Source organism: Homo sapiens, chromosome 3 (assembly GCF_000001405.40).
Source record: "Homo sapiens chromosome 3, GRCh38.p14 Primary Assembly".
NCBI classification, from domain to species: Eukaryota; Metazoa; Chordata; class Mammalia; order Primates; family Hominidae; genus Homo; species Homo sapiens.
In genome coordinates, this window is record NC_000003.12 from 97,272,987 (window position 1) to 97,297,499 (window position 24,513).

At 39.5% G+C, this 24,513-nt stretch overlaps 1 protein-coding gene across 12 annotated transcripts in view, besides 1 other annotated feature; it reads left to right on the plus strand.

The window, feature by feature from the left end:
* EPHA6 (EPH receptor A6) overlaps window positions 1-24,513 on the plus strand; it is a 946,939-nt gene that overhangs the window by 458,393 nt on the left and 464,033 nt on the right. The window lies entirely within an intron of this gene.
* Window positions 3,717-4,575: an enhancer, noted in NCBI's record as "H3K27ac-H3K4me1 hESC enhancer chr3:96995547-96996405 (GRCh37/hg19 assembly coordinates)". NCBI's record gives its function as "activates a minimal SCP1, AML or CMV promoter by ChIP-STARR-seq in primed H9 embryonic stem cells {active_cell/tissue: H9 hESC(primed)}" and the evidence as "EXISTENCE:reporter gene assay evidence [ECO:0000049][PMID:30033119]".

Sequence of the window (24,513 nt, forward strand, 5' to 3'; positions counted from 1 at the left end):
ATTAGGGGCGGTGTGGGAACCTAGAGTGGGAGAGATTAAGCTGAAGGAAGATTTTCTGGTAAGGGGTGATATTGTGGGGTTGTTAGAAGAAACGTTTGTCATTTAGAATTATTGGTGATGGCCTGGATATGGTTTTGTATGAATTGAAAAACTAAACAGAATAAGAGAAGGAGAAAAACAGGTATTAAAGGTCTAAGAATTGGAAGGACCCAGGACATCTAATTAGAGAGTGCCTAAGGAGATTCAGCATAGTCCTGCCAGCAAAGATTATTTACTTTAAGTGTTAAGAGTGGCAGTTTGGGGATGGCACCAGGAGATATCAGCTGTGATGGCTTGGAGAATCAGTATAAACCGGCAGTGTAAACAAGAGCAGGGCATTTATGAGTAGTTGAGAATGGTGAATAGGTGTATGACTAGACAGAAGATAGTAGGGATGACAAGTTTTTTGGGGGCACAGTCCAAGTTGATCTGGTGTCTGGAATGAGGCTGGGGCCTAATAAAAAGGAGCATCCATACAGGAGCTCAAATGGGCTGTACCCTGTAGCATTCCGAGGACGGGCCTGAATTCTGAGAAGGGAAAGTGGTAAGAGTATTGTCCATTCCTTTTTAAGTTGGTGGCTGAGCTTGGTGAGGTGTGCTTTTAAAAGACCATTAGTCCATTCTACCTTTCCTGAAGACTGAGGACCGTAGGGGATATAAAGGTTTCACTGAATACCAAGAGCCTGAAAAACTGCTTGGCTGATTTGACTAATAAAGGCTGGTCTGCTATCGGACTGTATAGAGGTGGGAAGGCCAAACCAAGGAATTATGTCTGACAGAAGGGAAGAAATGACCGCAGTGGCCTTCTCAGACCCTGTAGGAAAGGCCTCTACCCATCCAGTGAAATTGTCTACCCAGACTAAGAGGTATTTTAGTTTTCTGACTCGGGGCATGTGAGTAAAGTCAATTTGCCAGTCCTGGGCAGGGGCAAATCCCCGAGCTTTATGTGTAGGAAAGGGAGGAGGCCTGAACAATCCCTGAGGGGTAGTAGAATAGCAGATGGAACACTGAGAAGTGATTTCCTTGAGGACAGATTTCCACGATGGAAAGGAAATGAGAGGTTCTAAGAGGCAGGCTAGCGGCTTATAACCTACATGGAAGAGGTTATGAAATGATGACAGAATAGAATGGGCCTGTGAGGCTGGAAGGAGATATTTTCCCTGGTCTAAGAACCATTTGCCTTGTGTGGGAAGAGATTGATAGGTGGAAGTTTCAGCGGGGGAGTAGGTGGGAGTGACTGACGTGAAGGAGAAAAACTGGCCATGAGGGACAGAAGTTGGAAAGCTAGCTGCTTGTCTAGCCACCTTAGCATAAACATTGCCTAGAGCAAAGGGATCTGATGCCTTTTGATGGCCTTTGCAGTGAATGACTCCAGCTTCCTTTGGAAGTAAAGCGGCCTTGAGCAGAGTTTTTATTAAACAGGCATTAATGATGGAGGACCCTTGCGTAGTGAGGAAACCTCTTTCAGCCCATACAACAGCATGGTGGTGCAGAATATGAAAGGCATATTTAGAGTCAGTATAAATATTGATGCGTAGTCCTTTTGCAAGAGTGAGGGCTTGAGTTAAGGCAACTAGTTCAGCTTGTTGAGAGGTAGTGGAGGGGGGCAGAGTGGTAGCCTCAATGATACATGTGGAAGATACTATAGCATAGCCTGCCTTTGCTGGTGAGTGGCAATTAGGCCTGGTGGAACTGCCATTAATAAACCAAATGTGATCAGGGTGAGGAACAGGAAAGAAGGAAATATAGGGAAATGGGGTGAATATCAGGTGGATCAGAGAGATACAGTCATGAGGGTCAGGTGTGGTATCCAGAATAATGTGGGAGGCCGGATTGAAGTCCAGGCCAGGAACAATGGTAATTGTGGGAGACCCAACAAAGAGTGAGTATAGCTGAAGGAGCCGGGGAGCAGAAACTATATGCGTCAGGTATGAGGAAGAAAATAGATTTTGGAAGTTATAAGAACTGTAGAGAGTGAGTTGAGCATAGTTTGTGATTTTTAGGGCCTCTAAAAGTATTAAAGCACCGGCAGCCGCTGAACGCAAACATGAGGGCTAGGCTAAAACAGTAAGGTCAAGTTGTTTGGACAGAAAGGCTACAGGGTGTGGTCCCGGCTCCTGTGTAAGAATTCTGACCACACTAACCATGCCTAAGAAGGAAAGGAGTTATTGCTTTGTAGAAGGGATTGAGGTTTGGGAGATTAGTCAGACACGATCAGCAGGGAGAGCACATGTGTTTTTATGAGAATTATGCCGAGATAGGTAACAGATAAGGATGAAATTTGGGCTTGACTGAAGTAATGGGGGCTATCTGTGAAGCCTCGTGGCAGTACAGCCCAGGTAATTTGCTGAGCCTGATGGGTGTCAGGGTCAGTCTAAGTGAAAGCAAAGAGAGGCTGGGATGAAGGGTGGAAAGGGATAGTAAAGAAAGCATGTTTGAGATCCAGAACAGAAATAATGGGTTGTGGAGGGAGGTATTGAGGATAGGAGAGTATATGGGTTTGGCACGACGGGGTGGATAGGCAAAACAATTTGGTTGATAAGGCACAGATCCTGAACTAACCTGTAAGGCTTGTCTGGTTCTAGGACAGGTAAAATGGGGGAATTGTAAGGAGAGTTTATAGGCTTTAAAAGGCCATGCTGTAACAGGTGAGTGATAACAGGCTTTAATCCTTTTAAAGCGTGTTGTGGGATGGGATATTGGCATTGAACGGGGTAAGGGTGATTAGGTTTTAATGAGATGGTAAGGGGTGCATGATCGGTCGCCAAGGAGGGAGTAGAGGTATCCCATACTGGTGGGTTAAGGTGGGGGGATATGACAGGAGGATGCAAAGGAGGCTTTGAACTGGGGGGAAAGGTGGCAATGAGGTGTGGCTGTAGCCTAGGAATAGTCAGGGAAGCAGATAATTTAGTTAAAATGTCTCGACCTAATAAGGGAGCTGGGCAGGCGGGGATAACTAAAAAAGAGTGCATAAAATAATGTTGTCCAAGTTGGCAGCAGAGTTGGGGAGTTTTAAGAGGTTTAAAGCCTGGCCGTCAATACCCACAACAGTTATGGAGGCAAGGGAAACAGGCCCTTGAAAAGAAGGTAATATGGAATTAGTAGCCTCTGTATTGATTAAGAAGGTGACGGACTTACCCTCCACTGTGAGAGTTACCCGAAGCCTGGCATCCATGATGGTCTAGGGGGCTTCCGAGGCGATCGGGCAGTGTCAGTCTTCAGCCTCTAAGTGGAGAAGATCTGGGAAGGAGTCAGTCAGAGAGCCTTGGGCCAGAGTTCCAGGGGCTCTGGGAGTGGCTGCCAGGTGAGTTGAACAGTCCGATTTTCAGTGGGGTCCCGCACAGATGGGATGCGGCTTAGGAGGAATCCGGGGCTGTGGGCATTCCTTGGCTCGGTGGCCAGATTTCCAGTACTTGTAGCAAGCTCCTGGGAGAGGAGGTTCTGGAGGAACACCTGGCCGACTGCGGTTCAGGCGTTTGGAAGTTCTTGTGTGCTGGAGATGTGGCTGGGGTTTGTCTCATAGTGGAGGCAAGGAATTGCAACTTTTTTTCTATTATTGTACACCTTGAAGGTGAGGTTAACTAAGTCCTGTTGCGGGGTTTGATGGCCGGAATTTAATTTTTGGAGCTTTAAAGTCGGGAGCGGATTGGGTAATAAAATGTATATTGAGAATAAGACGGCCTTTTGACCTTTTAGGTCTAGGGCTATAAAGCATCTCAGGGTTGCTGCCAAATGAGCCATGAACTGGGCTGGGTTTTTCATATTTGATGAAAAAGAGCCTAAACACTAACTGATTTGGGAGAGGTGGGATAAGGAAAAAGGAAAAGGAGCATTAACCTTGACTATGCCTTTAGCTCCAGCCACCAATTGCTGGGCAGGTGGGGGAGGGCTAGTCGTGGAACGAAACTGTAAGCCGGACCAGGTGTGAGGAGGGGCGGTGATAAAAAGATTATAGGGTGGAGGAGCAGAGGCTGAGGAAGAATTGGGACCTAGCTCGGCCTGGCAAGGAGCAGCCTGGGGAGGAGGGGAAAGGCCAGATGGGTCTGTAGAAAAGGAAGAAAGACTCAGTGACGCTTGGGGTTGGAACTGAGGGGACAGGCGAGACGGAAAGAAGGAGAATTTGGGACGATTCTAACAGGCTTTGTGTGAGCAACAAGGCTATTTATTTCACCTGGGTGCAGATGGGCTGAGTCCGAAAAGAGAGTCAGCGAAGGGAGATAGGGGTGGGGCCATTTTATAAGATTTGGGTAGGTAAAGGAAAATTACAGTCAAAGGGGAGGTGTTCTCTGGCGGGAAGGGGTGGGGGTCACAAGGTGCTCAGTGGGGGAGCTTTTGAGCTGGGATGAGCCAGGATGAGCCAGGAAAAGGAATTTCGCAAGGTAATGTCATCAGTTAAGGCAGGAACAGGCCATTTTCACTTCTTTTGTGGTGGAATGTCATTAGTTAAGGCAGGAACCCGCCATCTGGATGTGTACGTGCAGTCACAGGGGATATGATGGCTTAGCTTGGGCTCAGAGGCCTGACAGATATAGCCTACTCCATATAGGTTATATGGTATAACCTATTGCTCCTAGGCTACAAACCTGTATAGCTTGTTACTGTACTTAGTACTTTAGGCAATTGTAACACAATGGTAAATACTTATATATCTAAACATATCTAAACAAAGAAAAGATACAATAAAAATACAGTATAAAGGTTATAACATGGTACACATATATAGAGCAATTATGATGAATGGAGCTTATAGAACTGGAATTTGCTTGGACTGGAAGTTGCTCCAAGTCAGTGAGTGAGTGAGCAGTGAGTGAATGTGAAGGCCTAGGACATGATTGCATGCTATTGATGACTTTATAAACACTGTACGCTGAGGCTACACTAAATTTATAAAAAGAAAGTAATTATGCTACAACAGCTATGATGTCACCAGATGACAGCAATATTTGAGCTCTATTATAATCTTCTAGGACCACTGTCATATGCTGTCTATCGTTGACCGAAACATTATGCAGCACATGACTGTACTATAATTTCCGTTTATCTGTTGATAGATACTTAAGTTGTTTCTAACTCTTGGCTACTAATGGCCACTTCTTAAAGGATGTTCACTAAGCATGTTTTTCATTTCCTCTCTGATTTTGATTTCTCATACATTTCTTTAAAGCAAATATGGTGAAAATTAAAATCAGAGTTTAGACCCAATGACTGCTAGTTTCCTTTATTCTAGTAAATATTATAAGTCTATTTGTATGAAAAAAATAACACTACTTTGAAGTTAGGACTGGTCGTGTTATGCTGATACTTAAAGATGTTTCCCAAATGCTGATCTTTTCATTGATAACTAATTGTATACAGGAAGTTCTTTCATTTTTGCATAAAGGTTTCTTAAAAATGTGTTTTAAAGTTTATAAATTGAATAACAGGCTTATACATTATAAGCCTTTGCGTTTTCATCTAGCCATAATGTGTCCTTTGGAGACCCTGCTTGCTGCACCAAACTGTCAAGCAAAAAACTGTGCACAGGTTGTCAATTCTAGGAAAGAACTTGAACATGGAGGATAGCAAAGATCATCACTATTTCAACCACTCAGTATAGAAGTCTATACACTCTGTCCACTGCATATCAGAATCACCAAGAAAAACAACACAGTTAAGCACTAGAGGGTGCAGTGTGTTACTCAAATACAGGAATAACAGAGTAAGATCAGCTCCTGTAGTGGGTGTAGGTCCCCCATGGCCAGCAGGTTTCTCTAGGCACCTGATTTAGGGGTATTGGCCTGCACACACCCCTCATGGGCAGCAGCAGAAGGATTTTGACTCAGACTCCTCCTCCATGGGAGCTGAGAGTGTATCTGAGGGCCGCTGACACACATGCTTAGGCAGGACAAAAACACATACGATTGAAACAGGGCAGGATATTCCCACACAAGGTAATAAGCACAGTACAGGCTGTGTGGGCTCTTTATCTCTTGGTAGAAGGGGTGAAAGACTGTGAACGTGAGACAGCTTTTCACAACAATTATAATCTATTACACTCACATAATTTACTAGTGGATTCTTTACAAGCAATTTAGGATGTTTCTTAAATAGTCAAGTCACAAAATGGGAACATACAAATTACTAAGTATGAAAAGGGCCAGAACATCCATTCCTAGTTTTGCTTTTACCTCCAATATATTCCAGTGATATTTGTTTGGAAAGAGAAACATGGTATTTTTTAATCTATTGATATTAAAAAATTAATAGATTTATTAATAGTGTTCTTACTGTGACTATTAGAATAAATAAATTACAACCCACCCATCACATACTTTGTTAGAACCCCCTTCATGAAAAGCGTGCTATTTTATAAGAAGAAAATATCTCTAACAAGGGTGACTAACTTGTGACTACATGAAAATTTTAAAATGAGCCATCATAAGCATCTTTTGAGTGCTGTCAGACTGCTCAAGTGAAGAGAATAGGAAATCTATTTAAAAAAAAAAAAGCAGGTCAGAGCAAGGGAAGTGCAAATTAAAATCAGGTAAGGCTTAAGCAATGTGAAAGAGCATTTTATAAGAAAGTCCAAATCTAGTTACACAATACATCATAGGCACGAAGCCAAGCAGAGAATCAATCAAACCTGGTTATGATCAAGGTGGATTCAAGGATGGAAGAATATAGAAAAGATTATATGTTTAATCTTGATGTTTACTGAAGACATGAATGACATTTTCACTTCCAAATTTTCTTTAGAAAAAAGGTCAGAGATATTAGATCAAACACTGTCCAATTCATAGATACTGCTAATTTTATTGAAGAGTAGAAATAACTGCCAATAATTATATGCTCCCTAGCATTTCTTTTTTCTTGTTGTTCGTTTGTTTTTGTTTTTTTTGAGACAGAGTCTTGCTCTTGTTGCCCAGGCTGGAGTACAGTGATGAGATCTTGGCTCACTGCAATCTCTGCCTTCCAGTTTCAAGCGATTGTCCTGCCCCAGCCTCCTGAGCAGCTGGGATTACAGGCACCTGCCACCAGTCTCATCTAATTTTCATATTTTTAGTAGAGACAGAGTTTTGCCATGTGGCATACTTGTCTCAAACTCCTGACCTAAAGTGATCCACCCGCCTTGGCCTCCCAAAGTGCTGGGAATTACAGGAGTGAGCCAGTGCACCTGACCTCCCTAGCATTTTTAAATAACTGACAGATGAAATTGTAAAAGTGTAGCTTAACTGCTAGATTTCCTTCTCTCTCTGTAAAGTAAGGATTGATAATAGTGTTCTCCTTAAATGATTGTTGTAAAGATTAAATGCAATTATATAAATTAATTTCATACAACAGTTCCTGGCATGTGGTAAGTGCTCAAATAATATTATTATTGCTGGTATTTAGAAAGCCAAGAACATTTTAAAGACATACATAGGATCAGCAAGCAAACAAAAGGTTGAAACATAAGACTCACTAATAATTGTGTCTCAGCCTTTACTCTGCCATCTGAGTAATCTTTCTCAAGGTACTTCATTTTTCTGAGCCTTTTTTTTTAATCTCCATTTATAAAACTGAGGTTGAACTGGATTATCTCTATGGTCTCTTCGAGCACACCTATAATTTTCAGAACCTGGTGTGTCAATAATTTGAACATTTGTATAGGGTTGCTGTCTAGCATGTATACATTTTTAAAACTATTTTCATACTTATAGTTTCCTTATATATCTCTTTATAAGGTTCTGAATTTCATATATTGTGCAAATATGAGGGCAAGTTCCAAAACCAAAAATCTTCTGGGATTAACTCTTAAAGGCAGAGTATTGAGTTAAATCTCTATTACCCTTTAATGTGTAACTATGAGCATATTAAACATGTCCCACAAGATAAGCAATTTGACTCTGTATCCCCATCTCAAACAGTAAACCTAGCAGGTGATGTGGTCTATATTTGGCAATTACTCCCTCTGAATAATAGTGAAGTTTTATCTTTTATAAATACATTTTTATCTACATAGTTCAGTCACTTGGCATTTCTGTACTATTTTTAAATTAAGTAAACTTCTTTGTTATGATTACTTACAATGAGGGAGAGAAGTTAAGTGTTATCAGATGACACTAGAGAGGTGTCATAAAAAAGGAAAAGGAGAAGAGTTTGATTTACACTTTGTAAAGCTATGACCGGAATTGCAATCATTAATTCAAAGAGTCTATGTGTGTGTGTGTGTGTGTGTGTGTGTGCGCGCGTGTGTGCATGAGCATGTGTGTGTGTGGTGTTTTAAGGTCACTGCTTTATTAGAATTAACCCATTTAAATACAGTTAATTTATAACTTCTTTGGGGGAAAAGGAAGCACATATTTCAAAGAGAAGGATGGATCTCAATTCAATTTGTATTTTAATTTGCATTCATTTTATTTTTATTTTAACTTGCATTTCTCCTTATATGAGTAAATTTAGATATTTTTCATACTGCTAAGGGAGCACAAACCCTCAGTCTCCTAATCAAGTGTGCCTATTACACTAAAGAGTCTCTCACTGTGATTCCAATCATTTTTACACTAAACCACAGAAAATTGCATAGAATACTCAAAAACAAGCCTGAAGGGATTATAACACAATGAAAATCACACATGAAATCAACTGAGATTGTAATAATAATATTTTCAACATCATCATTATTACTGTATGTTACATTTATTCAGTGCTTTATATGGACAAGGTACTATTCTAAGGGCTTTACATGTATTAATATATGTAATTCTCACAACATGCCTAGGTACAGTAACAGTTGTTATCCTCATTTCACAGGTGAATGAGTTGAGACACAAGGGAATTTTTAATAAGTCAGGGCCTATAACTTTAAATTTGGTTGAATTTTTTTACAGTGTGTGTAACTTAATCCTTTTCAATAATTTAAACGTTTTTACAAATCAGAAAATGTTAGAAAATATCACCAAATTTTTAATAATGTGGCACACATAATAAGTGTTCAGTATGTGGCTGATTAAGATTTTCAAGGCATTATATGATTCTATAGTTCCTTCCCATATGCTGTGACAGTCAAGGAATGTTTATAAACATAGCAGTTCAGTAATTGAACACATTGCCCTTTAAAATTACATTCCTTATAATATTTACAGTGTCCATATTGCCCAGTTTTTTTATCAAGCTTTTTACAATAGGAAAGACTGATGATGTCAGATAAATATAAGTATGTTCAATATGTACAGAGAAATGTAAATGTTTTTACATTGAAAGACTGACAATGTCAGAGAAATGTAAATCAAAACCACAATGAGATACCATCTCGTGCCACTTAGAATGGCAATTATTAAAAGTCGAAACAACAGATGCCGGCGAGGCTGTGGAGAAATAGGAATGCTTTTACGCTGTTGGTGGGAATGTAAATTAGTTCAATAATTGTGGAAGACAATGCGGCAATTCCTCAAATATCTAGAACCAGAGATACCATTTGACCCAGCAATCCCGTTACTGGGTATATATCCAAAGAAATATAAATCATTCTTTTATAAAGATACATGCATGCGTATGTTTATTGCAGCACCATTCGCAATAGCAAAGACATGGAATCAACCCAAACACCCATCACTGACAGACTAGATTAAAAAAATGTGGTCCATATACACCATGGAATACTGTGTAGCCATAAAAAGGAACGAGATTATGTCTTTTGCAGGGACAATGGATGAAGCTGGAAGCCATTATCTTCACCAAACTAACACAGGAATAGGAAACCAAACACCACATGTTCTCACTCATAAGTGGAGCTGAACAATGACAACACATGGACACAGGGAGGGGAACAACACACACCGGGGCCTATCAGCAGGGCAGGGGAAGGGAGAGCATTAGGATAAATAGCTAATGCATGCAGGGCTTAATATCTAGGTGATAGGTTGATAGGTACAGCAAACCACCATGACACACATTTACCTGTGTAACAAACCTCCATGTCCTGCACATGTATCCCAGAACTTAAAATAAAATAAAATTTTAAAAAAGAAAGACTGGCAATGTCAGCAAGTACTCTACAGGTCAGTAATTATATAAACAAAGAATAGTACTGGAAAATTAATATTGTAATAAACTAAGATATACCACCAAAATCAAAATGCTTTGTTAGATTTTTTGCATTATTCTCTCTTATTGACTTGGTATGTGAATTTTCAAACTGTCAACAACTTTTTTTTAAAAAGCATAAAGGTAGGTGATAGCACATTATGTAAAGTGACAAGTTAAATGAATTTTGAAATTGTTTAGTTCCATTTTATAGTTTAATATTTGAAATATAAATTATTATCTTGCATGCAGTAAGATAAATGGGAATAAATATCTCAAAAATTATGAGATTCATTGAATCATGTAACTATGCCAATTTTATCTTAAAAAGTTCTTTTATATATTTTTTGAACTTTGTTTTGTGATTACATTGGCAAGGAAAATGATAGGATACAGTTATCTAAACTAGCCTAGATATGGTGATTATAATATTAAATGTTGATTATAATATTAAATGAAATGGTGATTATAGAAATGGTGATTATAATATTAAATGTTGCTAAACAGTCTACACATCACACACCGGAGCCTTTCAGGGGGGTGAGGGGCAAGGGGAGGGAGAGCATTGGGATAAATATGTAATGCATTAGGGGCTTAAAACCTAGATGATGGGTTGATAGGTGCAGCAAACCACCATGACACATGTATACCTATGTAACAAACCTGCACGTTCTGCACGTGTATCTCATAACTTAAAATAAATAATAATAATGAAACTTATTATCAAGCAATGACATTTAAGTACATTACTTGTGATAATTAAAATATGTTATAGAGACTAAGTTAAGAATGGCAAAATACTAGGCCTCAATTCAGTCAACAAGGGATACACAATAAAGCAATTTTATTTATCTCTGAAGATTATAATCCCAACTATATCTTTACCTAGAAATATAATAAATTCCATTATCTCATAATTATATTTTCTAGTGCTTAAAATAAAGTTTTTTCACAAATTCTGCTGTGCACATTTCTGTTACCTTTTGCTTAACTCAATGCACAGCAATTAATAGATAATACATGTTTAAATAAATAAATTCTATATCAAAAATGTATTTTTCTACAATTTTTAAAGAAATCTATTTAAAGTTTCCCATCTGTGACATCATAAACCTATTTTGCATAAAAGTATAGTCAATACTTCTTTCTAAACTAGATATTTGATTCTTATTGTTTTACTAGCTTTTAAATCTGTGCCCTTTTGTTACTTTTGAATTAAAAATTACTGGAAGTTTCATTTTAAAATTATTATCTTTTTTCCTTTTTTATGCAAAAAGAGAGAAAGGCTTGTTAGTTTAAGGAAAGTAATCCCTCATTTCTCTTCCAATTTTCGATCTTATTCTGAGAACATCTTACTTCTTCCTTTAAAGCTTCACACTTACTTTTGTTTCATTTACCTGTGAGTCCGAGTTTGTGTCTCCACTCCCATTTTTTGTTTGTAATTTTTAGCCATATGCTTGTTACTACCTCTACTCCTCTACTGAACTGGCTTTTCTAAAAACATCATCTCCAAACACGTGACTGCTGATTTCATACACTAAGAGTACACTCATTTCTAAAGTGCCAGTTCAGCACTATGGAGTAGAAGTACTGAATAACATGATGTGAAAAATAGTGAACTATCCCAGATTTCATACTGTTGTTATAATAATGATTCATGACAGTTGCTATTAAGGTGGGAGACAAAAAAATTCCCCAAGGCCATTTGATTCTCCTCCCAATTAATACAAATATGTTAAATCTTTAATTTGTACACCAGTGCAATAATTAAAATATTTACATAGATCTATCAGAATAGTAAATTATTAAAAATTGAATTATTTAGTTCTAGAGGGATAGGTATATACATTCACTATATAACTGACATCTTGTATTTTAACATTTTTCTGGTTTATGTGTTTAGCATTTAAATGGTATTGGAACTAGTAGTTTTGGGAAATTTTGACTATACGTGTGTCAAAAACTTGTTCAGCCTCTGGAATACCGCCATCTGATAAACTTCTGCTGATAGGCATTGATCCAGACACACAGTGAAATTTCAAATACCACGACTCTTCATCTTTTAAAGATAAATTTAAGAGCCATTGATGATGATTAAATATTGTTATTTTGTTAAATATTTAATTAGAAAAATGACTGATAGAAGTGGAAGACATTGCATTTGTAAGATATTTTGTTTGGCATATTTATGGTTTTTGGTCATGATTCATAGATGCAATGTGATAAATGTAACTATCAAATATTAGAACTTAATCCTTCTATTTGACTGTATGTTTGTACCTATTAACCAGCCTCTCTTCATTGCTCTCTCCCACTCTTCCTATCCTTTGCTCACTATCATTCTACTCTCTACCTCCATGAGATCAATTTTTTAAACTTCCACATATGAGTGAGAACATGCAATACTAGTCTTTCTGTTCCTGGTTTATTTTATTTAACATAAAGACCATCATTTGTATTGATATTGCTGCATAATTGCTGCACATAATTTTATTTTTTATGGCCAGATAGTATTCCATTGTGTATATATCATATTTTCTTTATCCATCTATAGATAGACACTAACATTGATTCCATATATTTGCTATTGCAAATCGTGCTGCAGTGAACATGGGGTGCAAATATCCTTTTGATATACTGATCTCCTTTCCTTTTGATAAATACCCAGTAGTGGGATTGCTACATCCTATGGTAGTTCTATTCTTAGTTTTAGTTTTTTGGTTTTATTTTGAGAAATCTTTATACTGTTTTCCATAATGGCTGCATTAATTTACATTCCCACCAACAGTGTATGACAGTTTCCTTTTCTCCACATCCTCACCAGCATGTACTATTTTTTGTCATTTCATAAATAATCATTCTAGGGTAAGATGATATCTCACTGTGGTTTTGATTTGCATTTTCTCAATGATAGGTGATGTTAAACATTCTTTTATATACCTGTTAGCCATTTGTATGTCCTGATTTGAGAAATGTCTGTTTATCCCTTTGGTCCCTTTTGAATGAGATAATTTGGTTTCTTACCACTGAGTTATTTCTGTTCTCTGTATATTCTTTGTTCTTTCTGCTCATTAGTTTCTAGTCAGGTGATTAGTTCAAAAATATTTTCTCCCATTAAACAGTTTGTCCCTATTGATTATTTCCTTTGCTGTGCAGAAGCTTTTTAGTTTAATATACTCTATTACTCCATTTTTTCTTTTGCTGCCTGTGGTTTTAAAGTCTTAACCATAAAATCTTTGGCTAGACCAATGCAATGAAATTTGTTCTTTATGTTTTCTCCTAGTATTTGTATATTTTCAAGTGTTACATTTAAGTCCTTAATTCATTTGGAGTTGATTTTTTTGTATATGGTGAGAGATAGGGATTTAGTTTCATTTTGCATAAGGATATCCAGTTTTCCCAGCACTATTTATTAAAGAAGCTGTCTTTTCCCCAGTGTATGTTCCTGGCACCTTTGTTGAAAATCAGGTGGTTGCAAATAGGTGAACTTACTTCTAGGTTCTTTATTCCATTCCATTGGTCTATGTGTTTGTCCTTACACCAATTCCATAGTGTTTTGGTACCAAAGCCATATACTACATTTTGAAGTCAGGTGGTGTGAAGCCTCAAGCTTTTTTTTTTTTTCTTTTGCTCAGGATTGCTTTGGTAACTTGGACTCTTTTTAAATTCCAAACAAATTTTAGATTTTTTTTTCTAGTTCTGTGAAAAAATCACATTGGTATTTTATAGCAATTGAATTGAATTATAGATTGCTTTCGGTAGTATGGTGATTTTAACAAAATTAATTCTTCCAATCCATGAGCATGGGTTGTCTTTCCATTTGTTTGTATCTTTTTCAATCACTTTCGTCAGTGTTTTGTAGTTTTCCTTGTAGAGGTCTTTCACATTCTTGATTAAATTTATTCCTAGGTTTTTGTTTTTATGCAGCTGTTAAAAAAAAAAAAGGATTGCCTTCTTCATTTCCTTTTCTGCTAGTTCATTATTAGTGAATAGACATGCCACTGATTTTTGTATGTTGATTTTATATCCTGCAACTTTACTGAATTTATTTATCAGGTCTAAGAGTCTTTTGGTGGAGTGTTTAGGTATTTTTATATGTAAAATTTTGTCACCTACAAACAGAAACCATTTGACTTCTTTTTTTCCAATTTAGATGACTTTAATTTTTTTCTCTTGCCTGATTGCTCTGGCTAGGACTTGGCATCCTTGTCTTGTTCCAGTTCTTAGAGGAAAGGCTTAGCTTCTCTGAGTTCAGTTAGCTGCAGGTTTGTCACAACATCTCTTCATGATAAAAAAAACTCTTAACAATGGCGTGAACCTGGGAGGCGGAGCTTGCAGTGAGCCGAGATGGCGCCACTGCACTCCAGCGTGGGCAGCAGAGCAAGACTCCGTCTCAAAAACAAAAAAAAAACAAACAAAACAAAAAAAAACTAGGCAAAGAAGGAGCATACGTTAACATAATAATGGCCTTTGGGCCTACATCCTTTATTATGTTGAGGTATGTTGTTTATGAGCCATGTTCTTTTATGTTTATTGAGAGTTTTTATCATGAAGGGATGTTAAATTTTGTCAGATGTTGTTTCTATCTATTGTGATGATCATGTTATTTGTCCTTCATTCTACTGATGTTATGCATCTTGTTTATTAATATGTGTATGTTGAACCACCCTTGCATCCCTGGGATGAATCCCACTTAAATATGATGTGTTACCTTTTTGATGGGCTGTTGGATTCAGTTTGTTAGTATTTTGTTGAGGATTTTGCATCTATGTTCATCAGGAATATTGGTCTGTAGTTTTATTTTTTGTTGCATCCTTGTCTGATTTTGGTGTCAGGGTAGTAGTATCAGGGTAATGAGTCAGGAAGAATTCCCTCCTCTGCAATTTTTGGGAATACTTTGAATAGAATTGGCGTTTGTTATTCTTGTAAATGTGGTAGAATAAAGCAGTGAAGCCATCCAGTCTGGGGATTTTCTCTGTTAGGAGACGTAAAAAAAAAAAAGAAAAAAGAAAAAAGAAAGAAATTTAATTTTCAATGCAAGAGTACATGTGCAGGTTTCTTACATGGGTATACTGTGTGATGCTGAGGTTTGGGGTACAAATGATTCCTTCACCCAGGTAGTGAGCATAGCACCCAACAGGCAGTTTTTCAATCCTTGTTCCCCTTCCTTCCTCACCCTCTGTAGTAGTCCCATGTCCTTTGTTGCCATCTTTATGTCCATAAGTATTCAACTTTTAGCTCCCACTTAAAAATGAGAACATGCAATATTTAATTTTCCTTTCCTGTGTAAATTCACTTAGGATAATGGCCTCCAGCTGCATCCATGTTGCTGCAAAGGAGATGATTTGATTCTTTTTCATGACTGCTTAGTATTCCATTACATATACATCACATTTTTCTTTGTCCAGTCCACTGTTTATGAGCACCCAAGCTGATACCTTATCTTGCAGTTTTGAATAGTGCTGCAATGAACATGTGAGTGCATGTATCTTTTTAGTAGAATGAATTTTGGGGGAATATGTACACGTTAATGAGATTGCTGGGTCAGATGGTAGTTCTAAGTTCTTCAAGAAATCTCCAAATTTCTTTCCACAGTGGCTGAACTAATTTACATTCCCACCAAGAGTGTATAAGCATTTCCTGTACTATGCGGCCTCACTAGCATCTGTTGTTTCTTGACTTTTTTTATAATGGCCATTCTGACTGGTGTAACATAGTATCTCATTGTGGTTTTTATTTGCATTTTTCTGATGATTACTGATGTTGAGCACTTTTTCATATGTGTGTGGGGCCACTTGTTACATCTTCTTTTGAGAAGTGTCTGTCCATATCTTTTGCCCACTTTTTAATGGGGATTTTTTTTTTTTTTTTTTTGCTTGTTGATTTGTGTAAGTTTCCTATAGATTATGGATATTAGACTTTTGTCAGATACATAATTTGCAAATATTTTCTCCCATTCTGTATGTTGTCTACTCTGTTGACAGTTACTTTTGCTCTGCAGACGCTCATTAGTTTAATCAGGTCACAAGTCAATTTTTGTTTTTGTTGCAATTGATTTGGAGGACTTAGTCATAATTTCTTTCCCAAGGCCAATGTCCAGAATGGCATTTCCTAGGTTTTCTTCTAGGATTCTTCTAGTTTTAGGTCTTACGTTTAAATCTTTAACCCATATTAAGTTAATTTTTGTATAAGGTGAAAGATAGGTATCCAATTTCATTCTTCTGCATATGGCTAGCCACCCATCCCAGCACTATTTATTGAATAGTGAGTCCTTTCCCCATTGTTTATTTGTATTGAGTTCATCAAAGAACAGATGGCTGAAGTGTACAACTTTATTAGGGGTTCTGTATTCTGTTCCATTGGTCTTTGTGTCTGTTTTTGTACCAGTACCATACTCTTTTGGTTACAGTAGTCTTATATTATTGTTTGAAGTTGGGTAATGTGATGCTTCTGGCTTTGTTCTTTTTGCTTAGGATTGTTTTGTCTATTTCAGTTCTTTTTGGTTCCATATGCATTTTATGATAGTTTTTCCTAATTTGGTACTTTTTTAGGAATAACAATGAATCTGTATGTTGCTTTGGGAAGTATGGCCATTTTAATGTTATTGATTCTTCCAATCCATGAGCATGGAATCTCTTTCCATTTGTTTGTGTCATCTCTGATTTCTTTCAGCTGTTTTTTGTAGTTCTGCTTGTAGAGATCTTTCACCTCCTTGGTTACCTGTATTCCTATGGATTTTATTTTTTGTGAGTATGCAGCTACTGTAAATCAGATTGTGTTCTTGATTTGGCTCTCGGCTAGTGGTCTATTGATCTTGTTTATCCTTTCAAAGAACCAACTTTTATTTTTGTTGCTTCTTTGTATGAATTTTTGGATCTCAATTTTGTTTAGTTCTGCACGGATTTTAGTTATTTCTTTTCTTCTGCTAGCTTTGAGGTTAATTTCTTCTTCTTTATCTAGTTTTCATAGGTGTGATGTTAGATTGTTAATTTGAGATCTAACTATTTTAGCTGGGCATTTAGTACTGCAAACTTTCTCCTTAACAATGTTTTTGCTGCATTCCAGAGATTTTGGTATGATGGGTCCCGGTTTTCATTTATTTCAAAGAATTTTTTAAATTCTGTGTTAATTTTGTTGTTTACTCAAAAGTCATTCTGGAGTAAGTTGTTTAAATTCCATGTAATTGTGTGGTTTTGAGAGATCTACTTGGTATTGATTTTTATTGGTAGAAATTGGTTGTTAGGATTTCAATTTTTTTGAATCTATTGACACTGATTTGCGTCTAAGTATGTGGTGGATCTTGGAGTGTGTTCCATGTGCAAGTGAGAAGAATGTATAGTCTGTGGCTGATGGGTGGAGTTTTCTCTAAATGTCTATTAGGTCTGATTAGTCAAGTGTTGAATTTACATCCAGAATTTCGTTAGTTTTCTGCATTGGTGATCTAACTCTGTTAGTAGGGTATTGAAACCCATGTGGGGAGACTTTTTATAACTGATTCTCTCTCTGTTTAGATTTTCTATTTCTTTCTAATTCAATCTTGGTTGGTTGTGTTATCAAAAATTTACCTATTTATCCTAGGTTTTCTGGTTTGGTTATGTATAGTTGTTTATTACAGTCTTTGATGATCTTTTGTATTTCTGAGGTCTCAGTTGTTATGACTCCTTTTTCGCTACCCATTCTAGTTTTTGGGGTCCTTTTTCCTTTAGTTAGTCTAGGTAGTGGTTAATTTATTGATTTTGCTCATCTTTTTTTTTTAAACAAAAAAATAACTTTTTGTTTTGCTGATCCTTTGTATTGTGTTTTTAGTCTCATTCTTTTTATTTCTGCTCTGATCTTTATTGCTTTTCTTCTAACCATTTAGGGTTTAATGTATTCTTACTTTTTCAGTTCCCTGAGGTTCATGATTAGGATTGTTCACTTGAAGTCTTTCTACTCTTTTAATGCATGCATTTGTTGCTATAAACTTTCCTCTTAGCTGTGCTTTGGCTGGCATGTTGTGTTTTGACTTTCATTTGTTTCGAGATGCTTTTTTTTAAATTTCTTTCCTCATTTCATTATTGACCCAATGGTCAATTGGGAGCATGTTGTTTAATTTCTATATGTTCATACTATTTTGAAAGTTTCTCTTGTTATTGATTTCTAGTTTTATTTCATTGTTGTCTGATAAGATAGTTGAGAAGATTTCAATTTTTACATTTTTGTTGAAGCTTGTTTTGTTACCTACGTATAATCTATCGTGGAGAATATTCCATGTGCTGATGAGATGAATGTGTGTTGCTGTTAGAAAATGGTACTGTAAATGTCTGTTAGATCCCTCTGGTCATTGTTTCTTTGTTAATTTTCTGTCAATATGATCTGCCTAATGCTGAGAGTGGGTGTTGAGGTCCCCACCTGTTATTGTATTGGAGCCAACTTGATATTTGTTTATTTTAGGGTTTCCAATATACTACATAGAGTTTGTTCTTTCTTTTTTGTTCTTTTTCTTATATTTTGTTCTAAAATAATTATTTGAAAAGATCTATCTTTGTGTTCTGAAATACGTTCTTCTGCTTAATCTATTGTTTTTGAGGTTCTTAAATTTATGCTTTTATTTGAGATCTAATATTTGTTTTATGTATCTGAGTCCTCCAGTGTGGGTACATATATATTTAGAATTGGTATGTCCTCTTGTTGTATTGATCCCTTTATTCTATAATGACCTTGTCTCTTTTTACTGCTTTTGACTTAAAGTCTGTTTTATCTTACATAAGTGTCATGGGATCTTTAGGGTGTCACTTCACCAGCCGGAAACCTCTGTGGCCAGCTGTGCCTCTGCTTAGATTTTGCTTGTGCCTGCTGGACTTGTGCCTGGCAGGTTGCACTCTGCTTGAGCTACCAGCGTGGATCCCATACCTGCCAAGGGCAAGCCAGGCACGGAGCAGTGGGGGGTATGTGAGCAAACAAGCACAGGGTCCAGCCGCTGCGCACAGCCAGGTGCACCAGCTGTAGCAGGTTGGGCAGCTCCAGGCACCAGCACAAGCACCAGCTTTGTGTGAGGTTGCAGCTGAAGCAGACATACCACAAGCGGCTTCCGCTGCGGGCACCAGTGTCTGAACAAGGGGAACCTGATGGCACCCGAAAGCTCGGAGATGCCAGGAACCGCAGAGCCCCAAAGAGGGTGTTACGGCGTGTCAGAGCCCTGGCTCAGGGAGCCCCAAGGTCTGCGCTCCTAGAAGGACCACAGCTCTTCTCTCCTTGTCACTCACAATGTGGTAAATGGGGGAGAAAAGTTTCAGCCCTGTTTATGTTACAACTCTTTCCGTCCTGCCATTTTGCGGGTCCCAAGTTCTTGTCCTGCATACAAAAGGAATGAGGTATGTGGACAAGTGGAGGGTAAGCAAGGCAGAGAGGAGCTTCATTAAGTAACAGAACAGCTCTCAGGAGACCTGAGGCAGCTCCTTTCGGCAAGCAGGTCGTCCTGACGACGGTTCAGCTCTCAGCAGAAGAGACCCGTGATGGATAGGTGGATAGCTTCTTTCCACAGGCAGGTTGTCCCAGCAAGCATCCAGCTCACAACGGAGAGGAGACCTGTGGTGGGTAGCTCCTTTTCACAGGCAGTCATCCCAGCTAGCGTCCAGCTCTCAGGGGAGAGGAGACCCGTGGTAGGTAGTTGCTTTTTGCAGGCAGGTCATCTGGGTGAGCATCCAGCTCTCAGTGGAGAGGAGACCCGTGGTGGTAGCTCTTTTCTTCAGGCAAGTCATCCCGGTGAGCGTCCTGCTCTCAGCAGAGAGGAGACCCGTGGTGGGTAGCTCCTTCCCTCAGGCAGGTCATCTCAGTGAGCGTCCAGCTCTCAGTGGAGAGGAGACCTGTGGTGGGTAGCACCTTTTTGCAGGCAGGTCATCTCACCGAGCATCCAGTTCTCAGTGAAGAGAAGACCCATGGTGTCTAACTCCTTTCTTCAGGCAGGTCATCCTGGTGAGCTTCCAGCTCTCAGTGGAGAGGAGACCTGTGGTGGATAGCTCCTTTTCACAGGCAGGGCATGCCAGCAAGGGCCCAGCTCTCAGTGGAGCAGAGACTCATGGTGGGCAGCTCCATTCCTCAGCCGGGTCATCCCAGCAAGCGTCCAGCTCTCAGCAGAGAGGAGACCCGTGATAGGTAGCTCCTTTTCAAAGGCAGATCATCCTGGCTAGCGTCCACCTCTCAGCAAAGAGGACACTCATGATGTTCCATTGGCAGGCAGGCCATCCCAGTGAGTGTCCAGCTCTCAGCGGAGAGGAGACCCAGGGTAGGTTGCTCCTTTTGGCAGGCAGGTCATCCTGGCTAGCATCCAACTCTCAGCAAAGAGGACACTCATGATGGGTAGCTCCTTTCTGTTGGCAGGCAGGTCATCCCAGTGAGCGTCCAGCTCTCTGTGGAGAGGAGACTCATGGAGGGGAGCTCCTTTCTACAGGCAGGTCACCCCAAAGAGTCAATGAGACCCAAAGTAGGTAGCTCCATTCATGCAGCAGGTAGTCGTGACATCTGTGTGAGTCTGATTCCAGGGTTTTTATGGGCTCAGAAGGGAGGAAGCCTGTCCTGATGGATCCATGAGTGGCCATGGGTGGGCCTGGAAAAAGCCCATAAGTTCCCACTCTGGAGTGTGGACTCCACTTGGAATGGGCAGCCCAGGCCCCAGGCTTCAGGTAATTCCTGGCTCACAGGAGGGGTTTCACTGGGGACCTGCCCCTTCCCACCCAGGAACACAACTGCCTCCTGCTGTCATCAACATGTCCATGGATCCCTGGCTGTCCATGCCGAGGAGTGCCTGCAAGCCTGTGCCAAGCCACCTTCAGCCTCCCCGGCCTGCCTCCCGTGTTCATCAGTTCCCAAAGTATGGGAGTTGGGGACCGAGGTGGCATGGGGCTGACTCAAGCGTGCAAACCACCCCAGCTGGGGCACAACAGCACCCAGGTTCAGCTACAACATTGCTCCAAAATTGTTGCTGGTGTCAGGAGCAGGGGGAGGCCAGGGAGCAGGAGCTGGTACTTCCAAGCCTGTGGGAGCAGGAGAGGCTTTCTGGGCCCCAAGAGCACAGGGATGCCCAGGTCTGGAGCCACAGCTGGGCAGCTGCAGCTGCACGTGGGAGCGCAGGGCTCCTGCTGTGCCAATTCATAGTGGGCAGGGCTCCCACCTTTTCTCAGCCCCCACTGAATCCACAAAGCACACAGCCCCCAGCCATGCCTCCCCCACTTCAGCCAGCATCTTTGCAGTGGCCACTCCAGATGGACAGCTATCATAAGTACAGCCCCTTTGGCTTGCTTGGTTTCTATTTGTTTATAATTAAGGTCTTTTTCCATTTCTCTGCATTCAGTCTCTATGTGTCTTTACAAGTGAAGTGTGTGTCTTCTTTGCATGACATAGTTGTGTCATTTTTAAAATTCATTCAACCAGTCTATATTTTTCAGTAGAAAATTTAATCTGTTTACATTTAGTTATTATTGATATGTAATTAGTTACTTCTGTTATTTTGTTAATTGCCTTTCATATTTTGTACTTATTTTGTTGTTTTTTGTCATTGTTTCTCTCATTGTTTATCATTGCAGTTTGGTGATTTTCTGTAACAGTAACATTTGAGTCCCTCCTTATCTTCATTTGTGTGATTGCTCTACCAGTGCATTTTATACATTCATGTATTTTTATAATAATATTGTCCTTTTGTTTCCAAGTGTAGGACTTAAGCATTTATTATCTGGTTGGTCTAGTAGTAGTGAATTCCCTTAGTCTTTGCTTCTCTGGTAAAAACTTTATTTCTCCTTCATTTATGAAGGATAACTTTGCTGGGTATATTATTCTTTCAGAACATTGAATATATTTTTCCATTCTCACATAGCCTATAAGGTTTCTTTAGAGAAATCTGATGTTAGTCTGATGGGGGGGTTCTTAAATATGAATAGATGCTTTTCTCTCACTGTTTTTGTAATTCTTTAATTGTCTTTGTTGACAGTTTGACTATAATGTATCATGTAGAAGACTTTTTTGGGTAATAGCTATTTGGGGATCTCTGAGTTTCTATATCTGGATGATTAAATATTTTGCTAGACCTCAGAAGTTTTTACCTGTTATTTCACTAAATTGGTTTTCTATGACTTTGGTCTCCTCCTTACCTTCTGGAACACCCAAAATTTGGATATTCGTTTGTTTCATCATGGTCCATATGTCACATAGACTTTTTTCATGCTTTTTTATTCTTCCTTTTTTGTCTGACATAGTAATTTCAAAAGGCTTGTCTTCAGTTCTGAAATTCTTTCTTCTGCTTGATCCAGTCTATTTTTGAAGCTCTAAATGTATTTTTTATTTCATTCATTGAATGCTTCAATTCCCTGATTTCTGTTTGGTTCTTTTTTATGATATCTGTCTCTTTGGTAAATGTATCATCCATATCCCTAATTGATATTCTGATTTATTTGTATTGTTTGTTTGTGTTTTTCTTGTATGTCACTGAGGTTTCTTAAAATCAATATTTTGAATTTTTTTTTTTTTACTTTTATCAATTTATTTTTCATTGTAATCCTTGTAAACATTTCCTTTTTTTTAATGTTTCTTGTCTTTATGTTGTATCTGTGCATTGGTGCAACAGTCACTTTTTCCAAGTTTTTGGATTGGCTTTCATATGAGAAGACTTTTTACTGAAGATGTGTTGATGGTATTGGCTGCATAGGTCACTTCATTTTAGCTTTGTTTTTTTATTTATTTGACTATACACAGAGTCAGTGGTGTCCATGATTTCCTCAGTGTGTTAGTCTGTGGTTTTCATTGGAGGCTGTGGTGAGGTTTTGCTGGGGATGGGGATATCATTTGGGCCAATGTTCAGGCCCCAGTGGTGGCAGCAGTGGGCCAATCATGCCTATCCTTGGGACCCTGGATGGTGAATGTGGGCACCAGTATTAGCAGATCTGAGCTAGTTGATTCTTGGATATTCATGCAGCTTGCTCAGATGCCAGCAGTGGAAGTGGTTGGCCAGGCAGCTGTGTGGGTCCTAGGTCCTCTAGACAGTGTATGTGGCATGGGTGGTGGCAGTAGCAGAGACAGGACAAACTTTGGGCTCCCTAGTGACTCATACTGTTATTAATGGTGTTTGCAGTGGGCTGGGTGGGCCGGTCCCCAGACCCCCAGGAGGCATATTCTACTAGATGATGGCTCCAGTGGTAGCAGCAAACCAGGTAGGCCTGTACTCAGGCCCCTGGGAGAAGTGTGCAGATACCAGCAGTGTTGGATAGTCTAGCACTATCCCCAGGACACTAGACAGTGTGCTCAGGAACTGGGATGGGGGCAGTGCAAGGGAAGGTATGCCTGTTCTGTTTTCCTGGTGATGCGGATGGGTACAGGCTAAGGTGGGCAGTGCAAAGTGATCCTCATTCCCCTTGAAGAATGCTGAGGTGGCAGTAGCAATGATAGCAGTGGAGAAAGCCAGTTTATAGAGAGCATGCAAGTACATAGGAGCCATCCTGCTGAGTGGGGGTGGGTTGCTGTTAGTGGCAATAGACATAAGCAGTTGGCTCTCAGGCTCTGGGGAGTGCACACTTTTATTCCCAGCAGCAGCAGTGGCAGTGAGGATAGCAAACAAATCCAATCTTTGGGATGAGTGCAAGTGTACCATGGCCCTGTTGTGAGGGGTAGCAGGATTGCTGTCAATGGCAGCAGTCACAGACAGGCAGGTTTTATAGGGAGCACATGCTTTGGCTCTCTTTATCTCAGGGGCAGCCTACTCAGTGCACTGCACCACCTTTTCTCTGGGGTTCAGGACACTGTATGCTAGAGTGCTAAATACCCAACTGGGTCCAAGCAGCATCATCCCACTGTAGTCCTCTGGGTGAACACAGGGGAATATCACTGGGGCTCCAGGAATATGGAAAAGCAGGGTCTATTGGGCCCCAGAGAAGAATGCAGTCTGGTGAGGGCTGGATTCTTAAAATGGCAACATAGTGCAGCTGCTTAGGTTTGGGGACTCAGCATGAACTCTCTCTTTGGAGTAATCCCATCATGTGGTCTCCAGGCAGGTCCCTAGTCTAGTCAGAGGCCCTGTGAGGGTTGAGAGACTCTCCTGTCACTAGGGTTGTAGGAGTTCACAGTGGAATGTGGACTTCTGGGGATCTCTCACCATTTCACACACCGGGGAGCCACTCCTGGCTCCCAGCCAACACCAACTGAGTGAGCTGCCTCATTTTCCTCCCCTTCCATGCTTCAGGTATTTCCTGTCATGTTTCTATTCAATTTCAGTGTTCTCTCTTAAATGCACTATTTTAAGCATGCTTACTTATTCATTATTTTGATTGTTCTTTATGGAAAAGGCTAGTTCTGGCTGCCTTCAGTCAGCCATCTTGAAGCCTCCTTCCTTGATTTTTACCTTTGATGTCAATTTTTAGGTGAATCTCTTCTCTAGCTCTAAATTTAATTAAAGAAATATGACTTTGC